This window comes from Homo sapiens, chromosome 1, assembly GCF_000001405.40.
Source record: "Homo sapiens chromosome 1, GRCh38.p14 Primary Assembly".
NCBI lineage: Eukaryota > Metazoa > Chordata > Mammalia > Primates > Hominidae > Homo > Homo sapiens.
In genome coordinates, this window is record NC_000001.11 from 193,887,920 (window position 1) to 193,907,447 (window position 19,528).

Sequence of the window (19,528 nt, forward strand, 5' to 3'; positions counted from 1 at the left end):
TCTTCCCCTTCCGCCACGATTAAGTTTCCTGAGGCCTCCCCAGCCATGCAGAACTGTGAGTCAATTAAACCTCTTTCCTTTATAAATTACCCACTCTCTGGTTGTATCTTTATAGCATTGTGAGAATGAACTAATACACAACTGCATCTTTACTTATAACTGTCCTAGGACTTTTATCATCCACAATTATTCTTTTCTGTTGATTCTTCTCAAAAAGTGACTTATAATCATCTGCAGCCCAGGGCTTCCTTCTTCAGGGGAGTTCATGAAAAGGTCTCTAGAATGCAGGTTTCTGATAACCCTAAATGTTGTGCCATGAGATTAGAGGGAAAACTTTCAGGACTCTAATTGAACGGCTGATGTGTTTATAAAGATTCCTAATAAAATATGAAGCAGAGCAGAAGTTGATTGCATGGACTGAACTAATGAATAACTGAAATAATTTTTATGGCTTTTTTCTTGTTTGAAATGTTGCTGATTCTTTTTGCTTTGTTTCTCAGAGGCTGGATCATGTTTTTCTTTTGAGCTATTTATAGACTTTAATGATTGAGTAGAGTATACTCTTGTAAACAGAAGTTGAGGCCTATTTCTCTTTCCCTCTGCCTAATATCTAGAATTTGTAAACTATTTATGAATATTATTAATTCATGGCAATGTGCTTGTTCACATATGTTTAATAAGAACCTATGGGATGCAGTTGGGGAACTGGTTTTCTTCCTAAGGCTTTAACTGAAATGGCCTTGTGAGAGGTTCCAGCAAAGACAATTTAGGAGAACCTATATGGACAATGATTCTTGTTGCAGATTGTATAGGTAATCAGGCCAAGTATATGGGACTAAAGCTTATTTGGCAGGTGGGCTGGTCTTGTGATTTGTCTTTGGTGGCAGTAGGATACTGGAGAGAGAAAGATTGTGTTTCAAAAGGAAACTATAGTAGTAGATTAACCTTTGTTTCCTGGGTAGCCACGTGGACAGCCATGGCATGGAGCTGCCCACAACACCCCTCCTCAGCATGAAGCAGCTAAAAGATTGCCAGGTGGATTCCTCATGATTGAGGAGTTGAAAAATAGAAAGGTAGGGGTGAATTGAAACTGACCTAATTGTCCCACAGAACTTAGCTTTATAGCTTCTGTTGAATACACATAGAAATGGATTCTCCCAGTCTTGAAACTTGAGAAAGTTCCTTTGTTTTATTAAAGTTTCTTTCTCAGGAAACCAACCTTCAGGCCTTCTAGATAGTATCATGGAATTGAAGTTTACTAGGTCACTGCATCTGGACAATAAGATGCTAGACCCTTCACCCATCATGATTACCTATCTGACCACCTGCTTTGTGTTGACCAAATTATCTTTCTTACCCTTTCCTAATTCTTGTTTTTCTACATGTAGTTACATTTCTGTCATATAATGCCGTAATTTTAGTCAGTCAGGGAGATGAATTTGAGACTGAACTCCCATCTCCTGGGCTGCAGCACCTGAATAAAACCTTCCTCCCTGGCAGTACTTGTTTCAGTGATTGGCTTTCTGTGTAGCAAGCAGCAGGATCTAGACCAAATCTATGATGTTTCAGTAATAGAAAGAAAAAAAGAATTCATTTAAGTTGCAGGGACTGAAAGAGTACAATACCCTGGGATTTTGTTTTCTGGCTAGAGTTTGAAAACAGAAGCTTTATTATGTGTTCAGCAACCCTAATATAAGGGAAAGAACAAGTAGATTGGAAGCATAATTCTCCTAGAAGTTTCCTTGGACCCTGAGAAGGGCATAGATTAGACATAAACATTTCTGTGTGCCCAGTAATGAGGAAGAAGTAAGTTGGTAGAAGTAAAATGGTAGACAGATCAGATGTGAGCATGTATGCATGAGCACAGTTAGAACATCAGAGTGATGGCTCTTTTGAAGGTATCTATGAGAAGTCTAAAGGTGTGATTACACAAATGATTGCCATCTGTTAGTTCCAACACCGGATATCAAGAAAAGAGAGTATAAGTGTTATGATTGGCCACTTCGAAACAACTAAAAATGACATGAGCTCCATAGTCACTGCTACTTACCTGCATGAGTGATGGTCTGTAAACTTCACCTCTCTACTTGGAGACGAAGGAGAAAATCTTTAAATTGAGGAATGGGCTTCAAAATTAAAAAAAGTATATAATCCATTGAGACTTGGATTTTTCTTTTTAAATTCTAAATGGGCTTTTTACTTTTATATCTAAAAACACACGAATTTTTGCTGCTGAGGTGAATTTCACTTAGGAAAATAAAGACAGAATCATTCTTGAATTCTGTAAACAATCATAACTGAAAAAGGATGCCTACTACCAATATTTTTATCTTGGAAGAACTTATTGGAGTGAAGAGAAAGCAAAGAAATAAAGGAGAAAAGTGAAAGAAGCAAGCAAGCAAACAAAAGAATCCCTGCAGCTACAGATACCAAAAGAGTAATTTTTAAAAACTGCATCTGTATTAAGCTATATATCTTAACACTGTTATATTGTTATATTCTGTCTTTCCTTGCTATGTTTATAGTTTCAGTTATATGAAACTATATTTGAAACAAAATCATATACTATAATTTGTTTGTAATAAAGAGTGAAATGAGAGAATAATGTATATTTTCATTTTACATGCTCTATCAGTAATAAAACCAGGAAAGGAATGAACACATTATATGAAAGGATTTATGTGGGAAATATATTATTCTTATTTCAAAATTCTTTCAGAATTAAGCTAAATATTTTTATAGTAATAGTATTGATAATAAATCCTGTTTTTAACTTTTGTATTTATATGTATATGCTAAGTAAGCTACATGGGTTCATATATATTTTTCTCTCAGTATCTATAGACACACAAATAAGGATAATATATTTTTTAAAAGTTTATATTATAAAATATTGTATTTAAGTCTTTCCTTAATAGGCTTGGTCCAAAGTCTGCTAATATTCTCTTGAGGCTTTATTTTTTTATATCAGCTAAATAAAAATATAAAATTCATTAATACAAGGAATTAACATAATAGGCCTTTAATAAGTCTATACCAGAGTTTGAATTCGATGGTAATCATTTTTTTAATTGAAGATGAGAAATTAGCTCTTTATGTGTCCTATTATGCTGACATTTTCTTCACATGACCCTAGATTAGTTCCCTTGAAATTCCCAGCTCCTATGTTTTGCCATTATTCAGTATATGAAGCTTTAAAGCAGCTTAGTATTCTCTTAAATCATTCTGTCACTTGAGATCCACCCCTAATTCCTCACATTTTACTCATTAATGTGCAGCCTTTCTAGTGTAATAAGTCCTAGGGAAATTCACACTCAAATGTTCCCTTTTCTATGTTTCTCTCACTTATTGGAAAAGTTTTCTGAAATTTGCCATTTAAATAGGTAGCAAAATTTAAAACCAGAGCTATTGAAATGTTGACAATGACTAAAATTTGTTTAAAATACTTATATAAAAAATTCTTTTTACCTGTTTCCCAATTATAAAAAAGTGAAATGAGTATTTTTCTAACTTCAGTAAGTTCATCACACTATTACATAATTTAAATTATCAAAATCTGTCCCCACAGCACATTATCAATATTAGTATTTTTCCCTGCTAGACATTTCCCCTCTTTCTGATGACTAAGAAGAACTACATTGATTATCACAAACAAATATTTAAATATGATTTTTAATTTTTCTACCAGTACTTTTCACTTGCTTAGTGGGATCTGAACCGATTTTTTCTAACAGCAGGAATATATTTGGTCAAAATATGACCAAATACATACTTAAAACCTCAGAAGTGTAAAAAAAATAAGCTGGAGAGTTATTTGGTTGTTATGACTAGAGAAGTGGATTAGAAAAGGTTTGATTTTGTATGAGTGGTGCTATACTCTAATATCTTTCCCTAGAGATCTTCTAGCTTTGACTTGACTCTCCTCTTTACCTAGAACACTTAGGTATTTCTATGATTTTGTTGGGAGCACATCAAGGGCAAGAGATATTTTAAGCATTTCTGTGTTTGGCTCATAATGGGCGTTCCATAAATGTTGAGTGATGACTGAACAGACTCTTGAATGCAGAGAGGCTGAGTGATTACCAAAGGGTCAAGATCTAGAGGTCTCAGGATAGGTTGTTCATCTGGGATGGAGAAAGATTTGGGTCACTGAAGGCAAAGCACGTCATCATTTTGCTTGAGGTTGGTGCAGGTTTTAGAATTGAATAGTAAAAATGGGAGGATAGAAAGAGAATGTTATATATGCTTTTTACTCTGCTAGACCATTAATGAGTGGTATTTTAATTACAATTTACAACCTTATTGAATAATGATAATAATATCTAACTTACACAGGAGCAAATGAAATGACAAGACTTGACCAGAATAATATTAGTGAAAGGGTCTTTCAGACTGTGTTTATTCTTCTTTCATTAGATAGTGCTTCTGCTTGTCAGTCCACTAGCAAGTGACAAAAGACTTTACCTCGTGAAAAATTTTTAGCATCACTGCTACCAATATAATTAGTTATAGTTATATACTGCTTACTATTTGTAAACCATTTTTATAAAGCCCTAATATACATTATCTCAAATTTTGTTACAACTCTATGAGGCTCAAAGGACAATTATTTCCACTTTATATATGATACAAAATTAAGTTGTAAAATAATAAAATAATTGATAAGTTTACATGCTGATAGTAGAATGTATTGAACTCAAATTAATATTCTAGTTCTAAATCCATTGTTCCCTTAACATCATATGAAGATCCTTACAATAATTAAAGAGTACTATTAATTACATATTCTCTATTAAATATCTTCATCCTGGAAATGATCTCCTAGCATAATCTTATGCATAATTCCTGACTTTGTTTTATTCCCTCCTTATCTCCTCTTCTTCGTCCTCAGATATATTATCTATTATAGCTCAATATCTTGGCTAATATCCATTAATGGTGGCAGCTATTAGAATATTTATTAAGTTACTATTGTTTTGCTTAAATGAATATTTATGCCTTCCATTATGAAATGTCATTTTGTGAGTCTAAATAATTGCCAAAGTTTACAAAAGTGTGTACATAAATAATAAACATTATATGTTTAAGATCTAAGCTAATTGACAGAAATAAGTGACTATTTCACTAGAGACCTCTTAGGAAAAAATAATCAGAGATGACATGAACATAATTAGGGTCCAATTTGTTTCCAGTATTTATTAACCTTAAGTGCATAGGCAGTGAGGTGAGTTACTTAAATCAAAAGGAAGAAGTGAAATAAAATCATGAAAGGTTAAATGTGTAATATTCATATTTACATGTTTTATAGAGAGCCAATTATGTGTCAGGTTGTGGGGATAGGTAATCATTTAAGCTTTATAATATCTTCAAAACATAAAACAAATTTCTTTAAAATATAGATACTTTAATATTTTGCAAATAATGAAACTTAATCCCATTGAAGTGATATGACTTTCCCAAGGCCTTCTAAGTAGCAAATGGTAGAGCCACTCTCCAAACCTAGGCTTTCTGGTCAGCAAGATTATTTTCATTGTACTACATCATATTTTATCATATAATGGAAAGGCATAATAGGTGAGGTTTTTTCTTCTTAATCAACAGTTTGGTATAATTCATGAACCTGAATATTTCTCTCTTTCACTCTTTTCTTGATTATAAACTCTTGTCTGTTCTTTACTTTGTTGCATGAGAGTTAATACACCCAAATGAGGAAAAGTTTACTTTCCTTGTACCTTTAGCCATAAAGTATTCTTTGATATTTCATAAGACTACATTCTTATAAAACTAAATTATACCGAATGGAGAAAACAAATTTATTTTGTCTGTTGCAGAAGAATTTACAGTAAATAGTGATGAAATTACCACATCTGTCAACTGGCTGCTGAGTATATATGTGAGATATTGATGCCATTTTCCCTCCTAAAGTAGTATTTCCCATTGATTTATGGCTAAGTATATGACTAATAAGAAACTGCCAAATGAAAACACCTGAGCTGATAATTTAAGAAAATACTCAAAGTGAAAATAGAGTCACCAAAGCTTCACAATTAATGTAGTCATGGCTGGATAATTTTTAAGTAGCAAACACGCACACATTTTATTGTTTTACGTGAGGGGATGCAGGATATATAATACTGATTGAGCTCTGCACTAGTGAAATAGAGGCTTCTGGGAGAAAGACACATTTCACACCTCAGGGGCTTTTTGCAAACTGAAATTCATGCTTTTTTTTTTTTGTCAGAGAATTCTGGTCCTAAAGGTTTATCTTTGTCAGATATATCCCATAAATGATTTTATATCTTGATTTTTAGTTCAGCTTCCTACAGAAAAATTTAAGGAATATTTGCATCAAATTATTTATTTTCTTATTTTTATTCTTTTAACATTTAGAACAATTCTGAAGCTAATATCAAGAAACTTTTTTTTTTTTTATAAACTGAGATGAATATGCTTTTACCCACTGGTGATCAGCAAGAAAAGGCCCTCTCTTTGTAATTCTTGGCTTGAATAATTCATTTTAGTATTTCTGTTTCTATCCTTTAGGAAATATTTATAACAAGCTTGCTGCACTTAGTAGCACTTCACATAGCTAATTACTGATATTACCATAGAAGCTAAAATTAAATTTGAAGCAGTAAACAACTTCTTATACAAGTATTTTTCATATGTTAAAGAATTCTGCAAGTATTCTGAACTTGAAATCTAACCTAGGTCTTTGTAGGAGGAATGTTGGGAGAACAATACACATTTATAATTAAAGCTGGAAAAGTAGCTTAAATAAAAGGGAAAGCATTTTGAGCTCTGGTATTTATCTTGAAAATTATATTGGTTATTAGAAGTTTATTTCCTTTGAATACATTTCCATCAATGGAAAGGGCAAAGGAAGAAAAGAGCAGTGGAAAGAAGATATGTTAATGAATTAGACTTCTTAAAAAAGTGCTCACTATGTGCAAAATCATTCTGCTAATGCTTTATGAGCTGGCTCTTATCTGAACCTATTTATGAAATGATAGTAATGTGTTACATAGCAATTGAATCTCAAATTATTTTGTGGCTGAAAATATCCTTCTCCTCTCTGTTTTTGCATAGCTCCAGAGCTTTCAAACTTCAAGTGCTTAAGCTCCAACTCTTCCATTATGCATTTTGCTCCTCTCTCTCTCTCTCTCAAATCCCTGTTGAGGATCGTCTCCATGTACTGGCAGTTTCCTCCAGTCCCTGTGATCATTTCCCTGTGATCATTTGAGGTGATTTAATGACTGGACAAATAAAGATAATTATTTGATAATGTGTTATTTCTCAGATAACATTTCCAATTAAATAGTAATTTTAGTGGGAATTTTAGCAAGTGGAATTAGTGAGAAATGCTCTTGCCACTCAAAATATACTGCAGGAAGCTGACGATGTTGTATAAACAGTCTTGTAGTTTAAAAATATTAACATGTTAATCAACAATATAATAACACATAATTGGGGTAAATTTCAAAGTAAACAAGGTTCTATCATGACAAACTTTCCCCTCCTTCTAGATATCTGCTCCTGGCAATACTCTCCTTAGGCCATCTAGTCCCCTTCTGCACAGTTGATGTCCCCTGGTAATACCCACTTATTGTAGACTGCCCCATGTAGACCTTTTTTCCTCGGCTGCCTTCTTATCCTCAAGTTCACAGTCTGGTCGCTGCTGTATTCCAAGGCAGTGAAAAAAGACTTGTTGAACAGATGAAGGCTGTCATTGTTTTATACAATTGGATCAGTGTAGGTCAAAGCAAGAAAGCAAGGCTAGGTGAGATTTAGTGACTGGTAGGAAATGGTTATCATAGGAAATTATGCCTGTATGAGAGAAAGTCAAGTTCAGGTAATTCAGTATCAGTTGGATTGCTGAAAGGCAAGGAAAATATGTAAGCAAGGACATGCATAGTAATAAAGATGTCTTTTCTGTATCATTTTAATAACTTGTGATGGCATCTTTTATAGCATTTATTACACTTCAGTAGAATTACTGAATTTCTTATCTCTCTCCTTCAAGAGACACTGAATTCCTTGAGTTCATGGATTGTGCCTTTGGTCTTTGCATTCTCAGTGTTCACCATTTAATAATGTCAAGTAAATACATACATATTCAATAATTATAAGTGAATTATTGTTTTAGAAAGATTTCTCTGCCGGAGAGGTTCTTTTATTCTGTACTCTTTGAGACATTGCTTTGTCCTCTACTTGGAAACTTGACTTAGTAAGGCTTACATGTTCATAATTTATACAATCATCAATCATACTATATGTGTGTTGAGGGTGAGGGACCCTAGAGAAAAAAGTGACTCAATTCACATTTTGTAATAAGTTAAATCAGAAAAAGAAATTAGGGATTTGCCTTGAGCCTGGTTTTTCTGTTCCTCCAATAACTTTATAGTCAGGTAATATCCAGTGTTACATAACTTTCTGCTTAAAATAGTTAGAGTGAATAATTCAAAATGGAGAGTAATTATGATCTGCTGGGATTGGATTCAATAGTAAAAATTATAGTCTGCCAAAGTGACCCCTTGTATTTTCCTGCTTGTGTTCTCTACATCCTTACTCCCATTCACTTAGAATCAGATAACTCATGTCATATAAAGTACTAATTTTGTTAATTCAAATAAATCCTTTTACATTTGAGATTAGGATAATTTCTTTTATATATATATATATATATATATATTTTTTTTTTTTTTTTTTTTTTTTCTAGCAACAATGTACTGCCTGGAATATAGTGACCATAAGGGAATTGATAAGGCCTTTTAGATTATCGTCTTAACTAAAGTTAGTATTGGGTTTCAAGACATAAGAGCATAATATTTCTTATGCAATTTAAAAGTGTTACTCTAAAAGAGAGAATTTAGTCCTGGAGAAAGAAAAACTCTTCTGGAGTCAGTGCTTCTAATATTACACTATGTTGCTTAGTCACCATTCTACTTTTTTATCCTTGTGTAAGGAAAACCATACCATCACTGGCATTGTAGAGAAAAGAAACCAAAAAATAATGGCCAAGGCAGCTTTTTGAATATTTTAGAAATTAAATGATGAAGACAATAGGCAAACTATTAGTCTATTAAAATCCCTTTATAAAACTTGAACTCAGATTTTGAAAATTTTATAAAGTTGGATGTATTCGATCTACTTACCCAAAATTTAAAAACTTCACGTGAAGTTTATAACTAGAGTATGTAATTGAGTGTTTCCTGACATGTCTCCTTGAGATGCAATGTTGGATGAAGACATTTATACTGGAAATCCTACAAAGTATTTTTCTGTCCCCTAATAATACTATTGTGTTATTTACGTAAGAGCCATGATTGAGTAGGGACTAAATTTATAGTTAATATATTTGGATAGGGATACACTTTCCTAATCAATTTAAGATTCTCAGTTCCTGAAACATATAGATATGTTTTCTTATGTTTTTTGACCCATTAGGGATTTCAGCAGCAAAAAAAAAAAAATTCAGTCTCTGAAAAATATACTGTTCTTAGTTGGTGTGTAAAGTGCTACCTCTATACTCAACTCTACAAAGTGCAGGAGTAGTTTTGCCTAAAATGGAGTATAATGAAAGTTAAAGAAAATTTCAAATGAGTCTATAATTCTGCTTTTATCAGAAAAGACAAAAACTTCAGACTGTGTGTCAGGATAAAAGACAAGGGGAAACAATATGCTTTAAAAAAAGTTCAAGTCTCACTTTACAAATCACTGAATATCAGATTTTTTTCTGGGAGATGTAAAAGATATTTCATCTAAGTGCATTGCGTATTGGAGAAAGAATGAACTGAAAGAGTTTTATTCAACTTGTTACAACATATTCGTGCCCTGGGAGACTCTTCTATTTACATGAGAATGCATTAAAATATATCTGGATGGAGAGCAGAAAAATCAGAGGTAACTAAAAATCCATTTCTAGTGATTTTGGAATTCAGAAGGCTACTGTTTCTGCTTTCTCTCCCTTCTTTTCTTCCTTCACCTCCAAATCTCTTCAACATTTAATCAGGACATTCCATTTATTACAAATACTCTAGATTTGATAGTTTGTTAAAATTATATTGATTACCAAAGTATCTTTTTGTATCTTCATAAACTGGAGGTTCATTATGTCAGAAAATTGTGTCTCTCTATATAGCAATATATTATCACATGTGAAAACATGAGTTTGTAGCACAATTAATAGGTTATTTTCTTTGTTACTGCATTTTCTCATTGGTGATCTTGCTCTAAGTATTTCCCATTTAGTATTATAACTTTCCATCTTTAAAAAATAATTGTGTTGAAAGAATTCAGGTAATTTGTGCTTTAAAAAAGAATATCTTTTTAAAATGTCGTATAATAAAGCATGAAATATTAAATACCTTGTTTAATTACATTTCTAATTAAATTTCTTCAGATACTCTAAGTATCTACTATATGGCACACAATTATAAAATGTCTGTGATTAAAATAGGTTACTGTTAATGTTAAAAGGATGCCTGCCTGTTTTTTAAAAAATATATTCAATAATTTTAGCAAATGAGGTACTAAGTGGTCCAGATGTGTGTTTACATATTCCCCCACTCCCTGTCATCCCTCCATATCCATGGGCGATTGATTCCAGGACATTCCCTGTGAATACCAAAATCCATGGATGCTCAGGTCCTTTATATAAAATGACAGTATTTGCATAGGATAACATAAGCATATCCTCCATATCTTTTAAATCATTTCTAAATTACTTATAATACCTCATACAATTTAAATGCCATGTAAATATTTTATATACTGTATTATTTATTTGTATTATTTTTTATGGTTGTATTTTTAATTTTTTTCCAAATATTTTTTATGAGAAATAGATTGAATCTGCAAATGTGGAAGGTATTATTCCATTTTCATGCTGCTTATAAAGACATACCTGAGATTGGGCAATTTACAAAAGAAAGAACTTTAATGGACTTACAGTTCCATGTGACTGGGGAGGCCCCACAATCATGGTGGATGGCAAGGAGAAGCAAGTCACATCTTACATGGATGGCAGCAGGCAAAGAGAGAGAGCTAGTGCAGGGAAACTCACATTTTTAAAACCATCAGATCTAGTGAGACTTATTCACTATCATGAGAACAACATGGGGAAGACCTGCCCCCATGATTCAATTAGCTCCTACCTGCACTCTCCCACAACATGTGAAATTATGGGAGCTACAAGATGAGATTTGTGTGGGGACACAGAGCCAAACCATATCACCTAGCCTATGGATACTGAGCAGGAGGGCCAATAGGCATGTTTGTATTTTTCTGGTATTTTCTATCTTTTGTGTTTTACCCACATGTAAAGTTATTTTTTAGCCATTAATTGCCACATATTGTCTTTTTCAGGCTGGAAGCTTATCATGGGCCTGGATCTTGTGCTATTCAAATGTTTTCACCGATGCCTACAACTGTATTTGGCACATAGAAGTAAGTAAATGAATGCCAAAAGAAAGAATCAGTTTGTTCTCCTACATAGTGTAACAGATACTGGGAATTGACTTGCTTAGTGTGCATTGAGGAAAAGTAACATGACTGTGTCATATAAGTGGAAATGTGACCTTTTGGAAGCATGATGGCCATGACATTCTATTTTTGTGGGAAAGCTTTGGTAAATTTCTGTTACCCAGTCCCAAATGTTATATGTCCAGAGCAGCAGGGGTAGAACAGTGGTGTTCTGAATTGTGCTTGGACACAAGGCTAGTCAGTATTTATGGCTGTTAGTATCCAAGTTCAATTTTCTGGCCCTTTCAGAGATTCTGAAAGCTACTTGATATGTTTTCATAGACAGGTTTCTGCTTAATTAGCCCAGTTGGATTCTGTTGTTTGCAAATATGAACACTAATCAATAATCAGAAAGAGTGTAAAAATGTGATTACAGCAAATTCTCTTAATTGGAAGATGGGGAAGATGATAGAAATGTGGATGAATGAATGTGTTTTATTTTTGCATAAATTCTGACAAACAGGTTTCTGTTCTAAAGTGCAGAAATGCAGTTACTTTGTTCATTTGACATATTTTAATCACAGAATATAAATAGTAATGCCTCATATTGTCTGCATTTCTAACGTTTCTTTAGTGCTTTCACATTATTTCATTTTATAGTTATAATAGCCCTAAAAAGTAGGTATTGCCCATGACTTCCATGCTAATAAGAGGAAAATTCAGAAGTAGATGTGAATGTCTCATTTTTAATTCATGCTCTATCTGAAGGTTTTTCTCTGCATGCTTACTTAGGCTATGACTGCCATTAAATATGTGGATGGCCATATAGCGGTGATGTATACTTTTGTTTCTACATTTATTTAAGGGTCAAAAATAGTAACTGTCTGGATGTTTTCAGCTTGAATGACAGGTAGCCTCTATACATTGATTACATTATGAACTGGATATATGTCAAGTCATCTCTAAGATGTGGAAGGAGTGATAGCTTTGGACATTACTAAATCTATTTAGTTTTCAGTTTAGAAACATCTAGTAATAAAATTTTCAATTCTCAATATTATATTTCTTAAAAATTAAAAATATATTATCTAATTATTTTCATTTAGACCAATTTTATTTTAAAATGGTTAAGAGAAATGGTTTTTAAATCTTGTTGGTTCATATAGTCTCAGCAAAGGACTGAATTCATTTCCCACTAACAGTGTCCTTAAAAGAGATGATATGATGTGAAACCTCCATTAATAATATTTGCACTCATCATTGCTATGAAATCATAATAATAAAATAAATGTATGGTAATAGACTTCTGTGCTCACCAGTGCATTATGGTATTCCATGATAATTTGACAAGAGCTTTTCCTAAATTCTAAGATTTAACTTTGCAAAAATGTTTCTGTAACTTACGAATATGCTGTGTAATAAATTATAAAAAGTAGAAAATAGAATGTGAAAAGATTTTAGTTTCCAGTAATACTTAGAGGTCATATATTTTCAAAAATCACAGTGTATTTTATGCTAGTTGAGGTAATATTTGGAAAGCATGCTAGTGATTACTCTTTATTTCTCAAGATTTTACATTTAAAACCAGCTTTGATCTGAATGGCATGGATTTTTTTCCCAGAAAAAAACGCGTTTGATGGTACCGATGTCATGTGTTTAAGTTTGTAGCTTGTATTTCTGAATAATTGGTTTCTCAGGTAAGAGGCATTCAGAAACACATTAATATTCTCATGTTACTAAGATGTGAATGATGCATTGTGATGGTAATTTCACAAAAGATGTCCCAGAGTTTTCGAAGAGCTAATGCCATCCAGCTAGTAATTAATAACATCCGGAAAAATGCGTAATATTTCACTTGATTATAAAGTACTTAAAAATAAAATTACTTATGGGAAACAATATGGAAAAATGTACTGTTAATAAAAACATGCCTAAAGTTAGCAATGCTGAATTGGCATCATGTTAAAAATGTTTTTTTTTTAAATCTGTAGATATTGACACTGAGTTTTTCATTATTGATGGGAGTTTAATCTTTTTCCAGAGACTTGTTGAAACTTTTAATGGATAACAAAAGAATTATCTTTACACATGGTGGTATGTAACATAGGTGATAAAGGAGGCTTGGTGTGCTCATGGATATTGATTAGATTGGGCTATCAGTTGGGTATTTCAGAGCATTGAAAGTTGATGGTCCATTGCAAATTTTAATTTTTAAAATGTTTTGTTTTACACTGGTTGTAAATAACCGGATACAAATGTTTATATCATACCACATAAATTAAAACTTTATAGTGAGAGAAGCATTTTAAAGATGTGCAATTGTATTGGCCATTATATTGGGGATAAATCTTTATCGATCTGTGTTATTGAAATATATTAGTCCTGATGAGATTGATTTTGTTTTTTAAGGGAAGAACAACATTAAAACAAGGCAATGCTAACTGGCTCAGAGCTTGACTAGTATATAGAATACTCTGAAATGGGGATGATAATGTGAGTCATTGCTTACTCTGTTGGTTATACAGAAAAATCAAATAACAAACAAAATCAAAGAAGGCGTTTGTCCTGTAGGCATATTAATTAGGGACAGAATAGTATGAATATTTTGAGGACCATCATACATACTGGACTTACATGTTCACGTCTTCTCCCCTCATCCTATTGCATATCTAAAACACATCCATCTGCTACTTGGTTCACTGATTTCTAAAAATTAAATTTAAATGCGTATTTATTTTCTTGGTTAAAATCTTTCTTCTTCTTCCTGTGTGGATATCACTGGTGAAAACAAGCACATTTACTCTATTAGGCATTTTTACCTACACTTTCATGAATATATTAGACACCTAAGAGATGATGATGTGATGCAGGAGGCCACTGATTCTCCTGTGAAAATGGATGCTATTGGGGGAAACTATGTGAATGATTTGGGGGTTGAGGAAGAAAAACAATGAAGATGGAATATTGTGGGTGACAAGGAATTAATTCACATATCTGCCTAGGACTGAGTAGGATGGATGAATGTCTGGGTATTCATTGTAGGGTAAATGAGAAGGACATCCCACCTGATACCTCCATTAAAATGATATGTAGACTCAAAGTGCTTAATAAAACAAGACTGTAACTACAAGAAATAGTAAATGAATCAAAAGAAAAAAGTGTAAGAAAACATATTACCTTTTAAATATCTCATTAACTTATTTATTAGTTATTGGACAGTGGTAAAAGCATATAAATCAGAATTAAGATGGAAAATAAAATAGAGTAATAAGAAGTATTTCTGAATAAATAGTCAAGTATTTTATTTAATCCTTGGCTTCTCCTTTTTACTTTTATGTTCTTTTAAAATTTAAAGAGATAGTGAAAAATGAAATAATCAATATAGTTAAGATCTTTTGACTCTTTGAGGCATTTTTAAGAAAAACTTCTGATTCATCAAAACATTCTGAAAGAATGGGAGCGACAGCTCTGGTTTCTGCTTTTACACTAACTTTTAAGGAATTCATTGTAAATCTATAAGTTTGCTCAGACCCAGTTACATTTGTTGAAGGCAAATGATAATTATATTTGTTGAAGAGAAATGTTAGTTAAATATTCATTGTTGTTCACCTATTCTTTTCTTTCACAACTCCTAGATCCTTTCTAACCTTTCAACATATTCTTTCAAATTTTGTTAACTTTTAACTTTCCTTTTAATTTAAAGGTTCTGCAATAGCTTCTGCAAGATATTTCTTTGTGTGTAGGGAATGTAGGATTACAGGTTAATGTTCAGTATGGAACTTACAATTTATCATATATGATGAATTATATCAGAATTAAGATGATTGAAAATAGCATCTAAGTGGGGAGAAGCGTGACTAGATAAATAGAGAAAATTCAGTATCACTTGAGCATGTAAACTGATACTGATAGGCAGACAAACAAACTGTTGCTATGAACCTTCAGAGACACCAAGTATTCTTAAATGACAAAGACCTGTTGTTGTTTCAAATCTCTTAACCATTTTTTGAGCCATGAAAATCTAACATGATTTTGTTTTAGTGATTATTTATTTACATGTTCTTTCCTGTTAGGTTACGTGTTGAAAAATAAAAAAATATGAACATAGTAGAGTACAGTAATACGCTACATCTGGGTTTTTTGGCTGTTATGGAGATATTTCTCTTTAAGTTCTAACTCTAGATATAAAGGCATCTATTTAAAGAAGGTAACTTCTCTATATCTAACTTTAGATACAAAGGTATTCTATTTAAAGAAGAATACATGGAAGTGTGGTTACTGAGGACTAATTACCTTCAAGAATGTAGTAAGTAGTTCAAGCAAGTAATGATACCAAATAAGCAATTCTACAATTTTTGCAAGTATGATTAGCATGTGATAGGAATATACATATTTAAAGCTGACTATGTCATTCCTTTTCTCAAGCCTTTTGCTGTGATTATTTTTAATGTCACTTGAAATTCATTTGGCTTGCTCTTCTACTAGCTCAGGAAGAAGTTTGAAAATGTTTAATAAAGTTTCTTACTTTAGATGTCTCAAGAATATGTACTAATTAGATTTGTGTCATAAAAAAAGATAGCAGAAAATGTTATAACGCATCACAAAATAATTAATGCACTTTTATTATTTGAAAAACAGCATATGTCGAGATTTTAGACAATGATCTATTGGCATAAAGTAAAGGCACCCACAAAAAATGACCAGTTTATGGCCAAACTGATTGTTTTTAGGAAAGCAGATTTATCTTGTTGCTAGGTCAGAAGTGTGAATTATTCTTCCCAAGTCAGTTTTTGTCTCAGAATGTTGCAAGTGGCTGATTTTAAGAGGTTTATATATAGCTCTGGGCTGAGAGTTACATCCCAAGGATTTGGAGTTGAAATTTAAAGAGACTTGACACTGATTTCTTTAAGAGACACCATTCAATATTAGTGAGACCAGGAATCACCATTTATTAAAAGATAACCAAATTGTTGATTTTCTGTATATAACTGTGATATATAAACACTTTAGAATATCACAATGGGCCTATTTTAAAAAATAATCAGTTTTGTTTTTAAAATTTAAATTAGATTAAAGAAATATTTATTACATTCCTAGTATAGTGTAGGCACCGTGTCAAATCTTCTTTTTTATTTTTATTTAGTTTTTATTTTTATTTTTATTTTTTTTTGAGACTGAGTCTCGCTCTGTTGCCCAGGCTGCAGCGCAGTGGCGCAATCTCGGCTCACTGCAAGCTCCGCCTCCCGGGTTCACACCATTCTCCTGCCTCAGCCTCCCGAGTAGCTGGGACTACAGGCGCCCGCCACCACGCCTGGCTAGTTTTCTTGTATTTTTAGTAGAGACGGCATTTCACTGTGTTAGCCAGAATGGTTTTTCATCTCCTGACCTCGTGATCCACCCGCCTCGGCCTCCCAAAGTGCTGGGGTTACAGGCGTGAGCCACTGCGCCCGACTCCGTGTCACATCTTAAGTCAATCAAAATATTTATTAAAAGACTACGCCAGGCACGGTGGCTCATGCCTGTAAACCCAGCACTTTGGGAGGCCGAGGTGGGTGGATCACCTGAGATCAAGAGTTTGAGAGCAGTCTGGACAACATGGCGAAACCCCGGCTCTGCTAAAAATATAAAAATTAGCTGGGTGTGGTGGCACACGCCTGTAATCCTAGCTACTCGGGAGGCTGAAGCAGGAGAATCCCTTGAACCCAGGAGACAGAGGTTGCAGTGAGCCGAGATCGCACCACTGCACTCCATCCTGGGCGACAGAGGGAGACTCCATCTCAAAAAATAAACAACAGCAGCAACAACAACAGCAACAACAACAAAAACCTACTGGTTAACCGTAGGCATTGTATCCACACTGAGACTACAGCTACAACAGCAAAATTTGACAGTTTTTGAATTTATGAAGCTTAAATAAAATAAAGCAATTTGAAATTATGGTAAATAATTTAAAGCCAAACAAAAAAAATGATGAGAAAGAAAAACGAGTTTATAAGAGAAGGTTTCCTTGGGAGATGGTATTTAAACTGATATGAAATATGAGACATAGAGTCTTGAAGATGAACATTCCAGCGGGCATAGCATGCAAAACCACCTCGAGGAACTGAAACAAAGCCAGCATGGGGAGGAGATGACTGAGAAGCAGGATGGCCAGGATTGGATTTGAGAGGCAGGAAGGCAGGGAGCAGCTGCTGCAGGATTCAGACTTATTACAGGTTACAGACCTTTATATAAAATTGCCTTCTCTATATTTCCCCTTAGATATCCTCTAGGCTCCTTAAGCTCAAAATGCCTGACCCTATGCTTCTCCTTCTTTGTTCCTTATATCTGAAAATAAAATCTTGATCTACCCGGGGATGTCAGCCCAACACATTCTTGGAAGTTCTCTTTATTATATCCCCTGAGGGGATATGTTTTGTTCTTCTTTGCTAACAACTCTGGACTCTGTCCTCTACTCACCCTGCCCTCTTTCATCATATTCAGTCATGGACACCAGCAGTTGCTTAACTAGTTGTTGTGGTCACCTCACGGAGGGCAGCATCAAACACCCATTTAAAATTTGGTTTGAATGCAGACTAATGATACCATACATGCACCAAGAGGATATGAAAAGAGTTAAATAATGAGGCCTTCTAAGGAGGTCAGGGCAGCTTTCCAAGTGGGTATAAAAATGACTTGAGAAAACAGAGAAGGAAACTGTGTTATGTTGTCATGTACTTGCATGATTTGAGTTCCTTGCTGACACCAAGAGAATGAATGTGGGCCTTCTTTTCAGCTTGCCTGGATGTTAGGGAAAAGGAGATGATGGAAGGGTGGGACTTAAAAGTTGTGAGTGGCCAAACACAAAATATGGAATCAGATACTTTATTACACTAGTCTTTCTGACTCCAGTATTGATTCCCTAAATCTGTTCTCCATGCTTCAATCTGTGACTATTCTAAAATTTAGGTGATCTCATATCTTTTCTTCACTTAAAATTTCATTGTCATAAATACAAGTCCGAGTTCCTTAATGTGGCATCTGAGGTCCTTCGTTGCTTGTCTTCTCACATTTTCAAGTTTTTTCTTAATATTCCTACCTTCACATTCCATTTTCCAGCCACACTGGTTAGCTGGAGCACCATAACATGCCTTGCTCCCACACTTCTAGATTTTTGTTTGCTTTTTTCCCCAATGTCTGAAATACTGTTTTCTCCTCTACTCCCATATGTTTCTTTATTAATTTCAGTTTTATGAAGTATAATTTACATAAATAAAATTTTTACCCTTTAAAAATGTACAGTTCATTGAAGTCTGACAAATGCCTATAGTAATATAATTACTATCTCAAAGTAGAGAATGCCTCACCAACCCCAAAAAGTTCCTTTGTACCACTTTACAGTCACACTGTCCCTTTATACCCAGCCCCTACAGATCTGTTTCTTTAGTTTTGTCTTTTCATGATCTTATAAATGGAATTACAAGGTAGGTGGCACTTTGCTTCTGTTTTTTTCCACTAACATAAGACTTTGTGATATTCATCCGTATATTTGAATATATCGGTTGTTTATTTCCTTTTTATTGCTGAATTAGTATTTCATTGCATGGCCATAGCATAATTTATTTATCCATTTACCAGTTGACAGACCTATGGATTACTTCCAGTGTTGGGCAATTATAAATATATTTGCTATAAGCATTGCTATACAGGTCTTTGTGTGTGTACACAAGGGTTTATTTCTCTTAGAAAAATATGTAGGGATGAAATTTCATATTCTATGGAAACAATATGTTTAAATTTATAAGAAACTTGAAGACGGTTGTGCCATTTTGAATTCCTACCAGTAATCTATGAATCTCCACTCTCAAATACTCATCTTGGTATTTGTTAAGTTCTAAAAATTATCCATTCTAATAGGTGTACAGTTATCTCATTGCATATTTTTAAGTAATTAATGATGATGAACATCTCTTCACGTGTGTTTATTTGCCATTTATGTATCTCTGATGAAGAAACTTCCCAAATCTTTTTGACCATTTTTAAAATTGGGTTGATGGACTTTTAGTATTGAATTTAATGGTAAGAG

The 19,528-nt window shown here is 33.4% G+C and overlaps 1 long non-coding RNA gene across 1 annotated transcript in view; it reads left to right on the plus strand.

Moving 5' to 3' along the window:
* LOC124904475 (uncharacterized) overlaps window positions 1-19,528 on the plus strand; it is a 765,263-nt gene that overhangs the window by 433,635 nt on the left and 312,100 nt on the right. The window contains exon 5 of the long non-coding RNA XR_007066777.1: window positions 11,368-11,448. This is a non-coding gene — a long non-coding RNA (uncharacterized LOC124904475). The remainder of the gene's footprint in view (window positions 1-11,367; window positions 11,449-19,528) is intronic.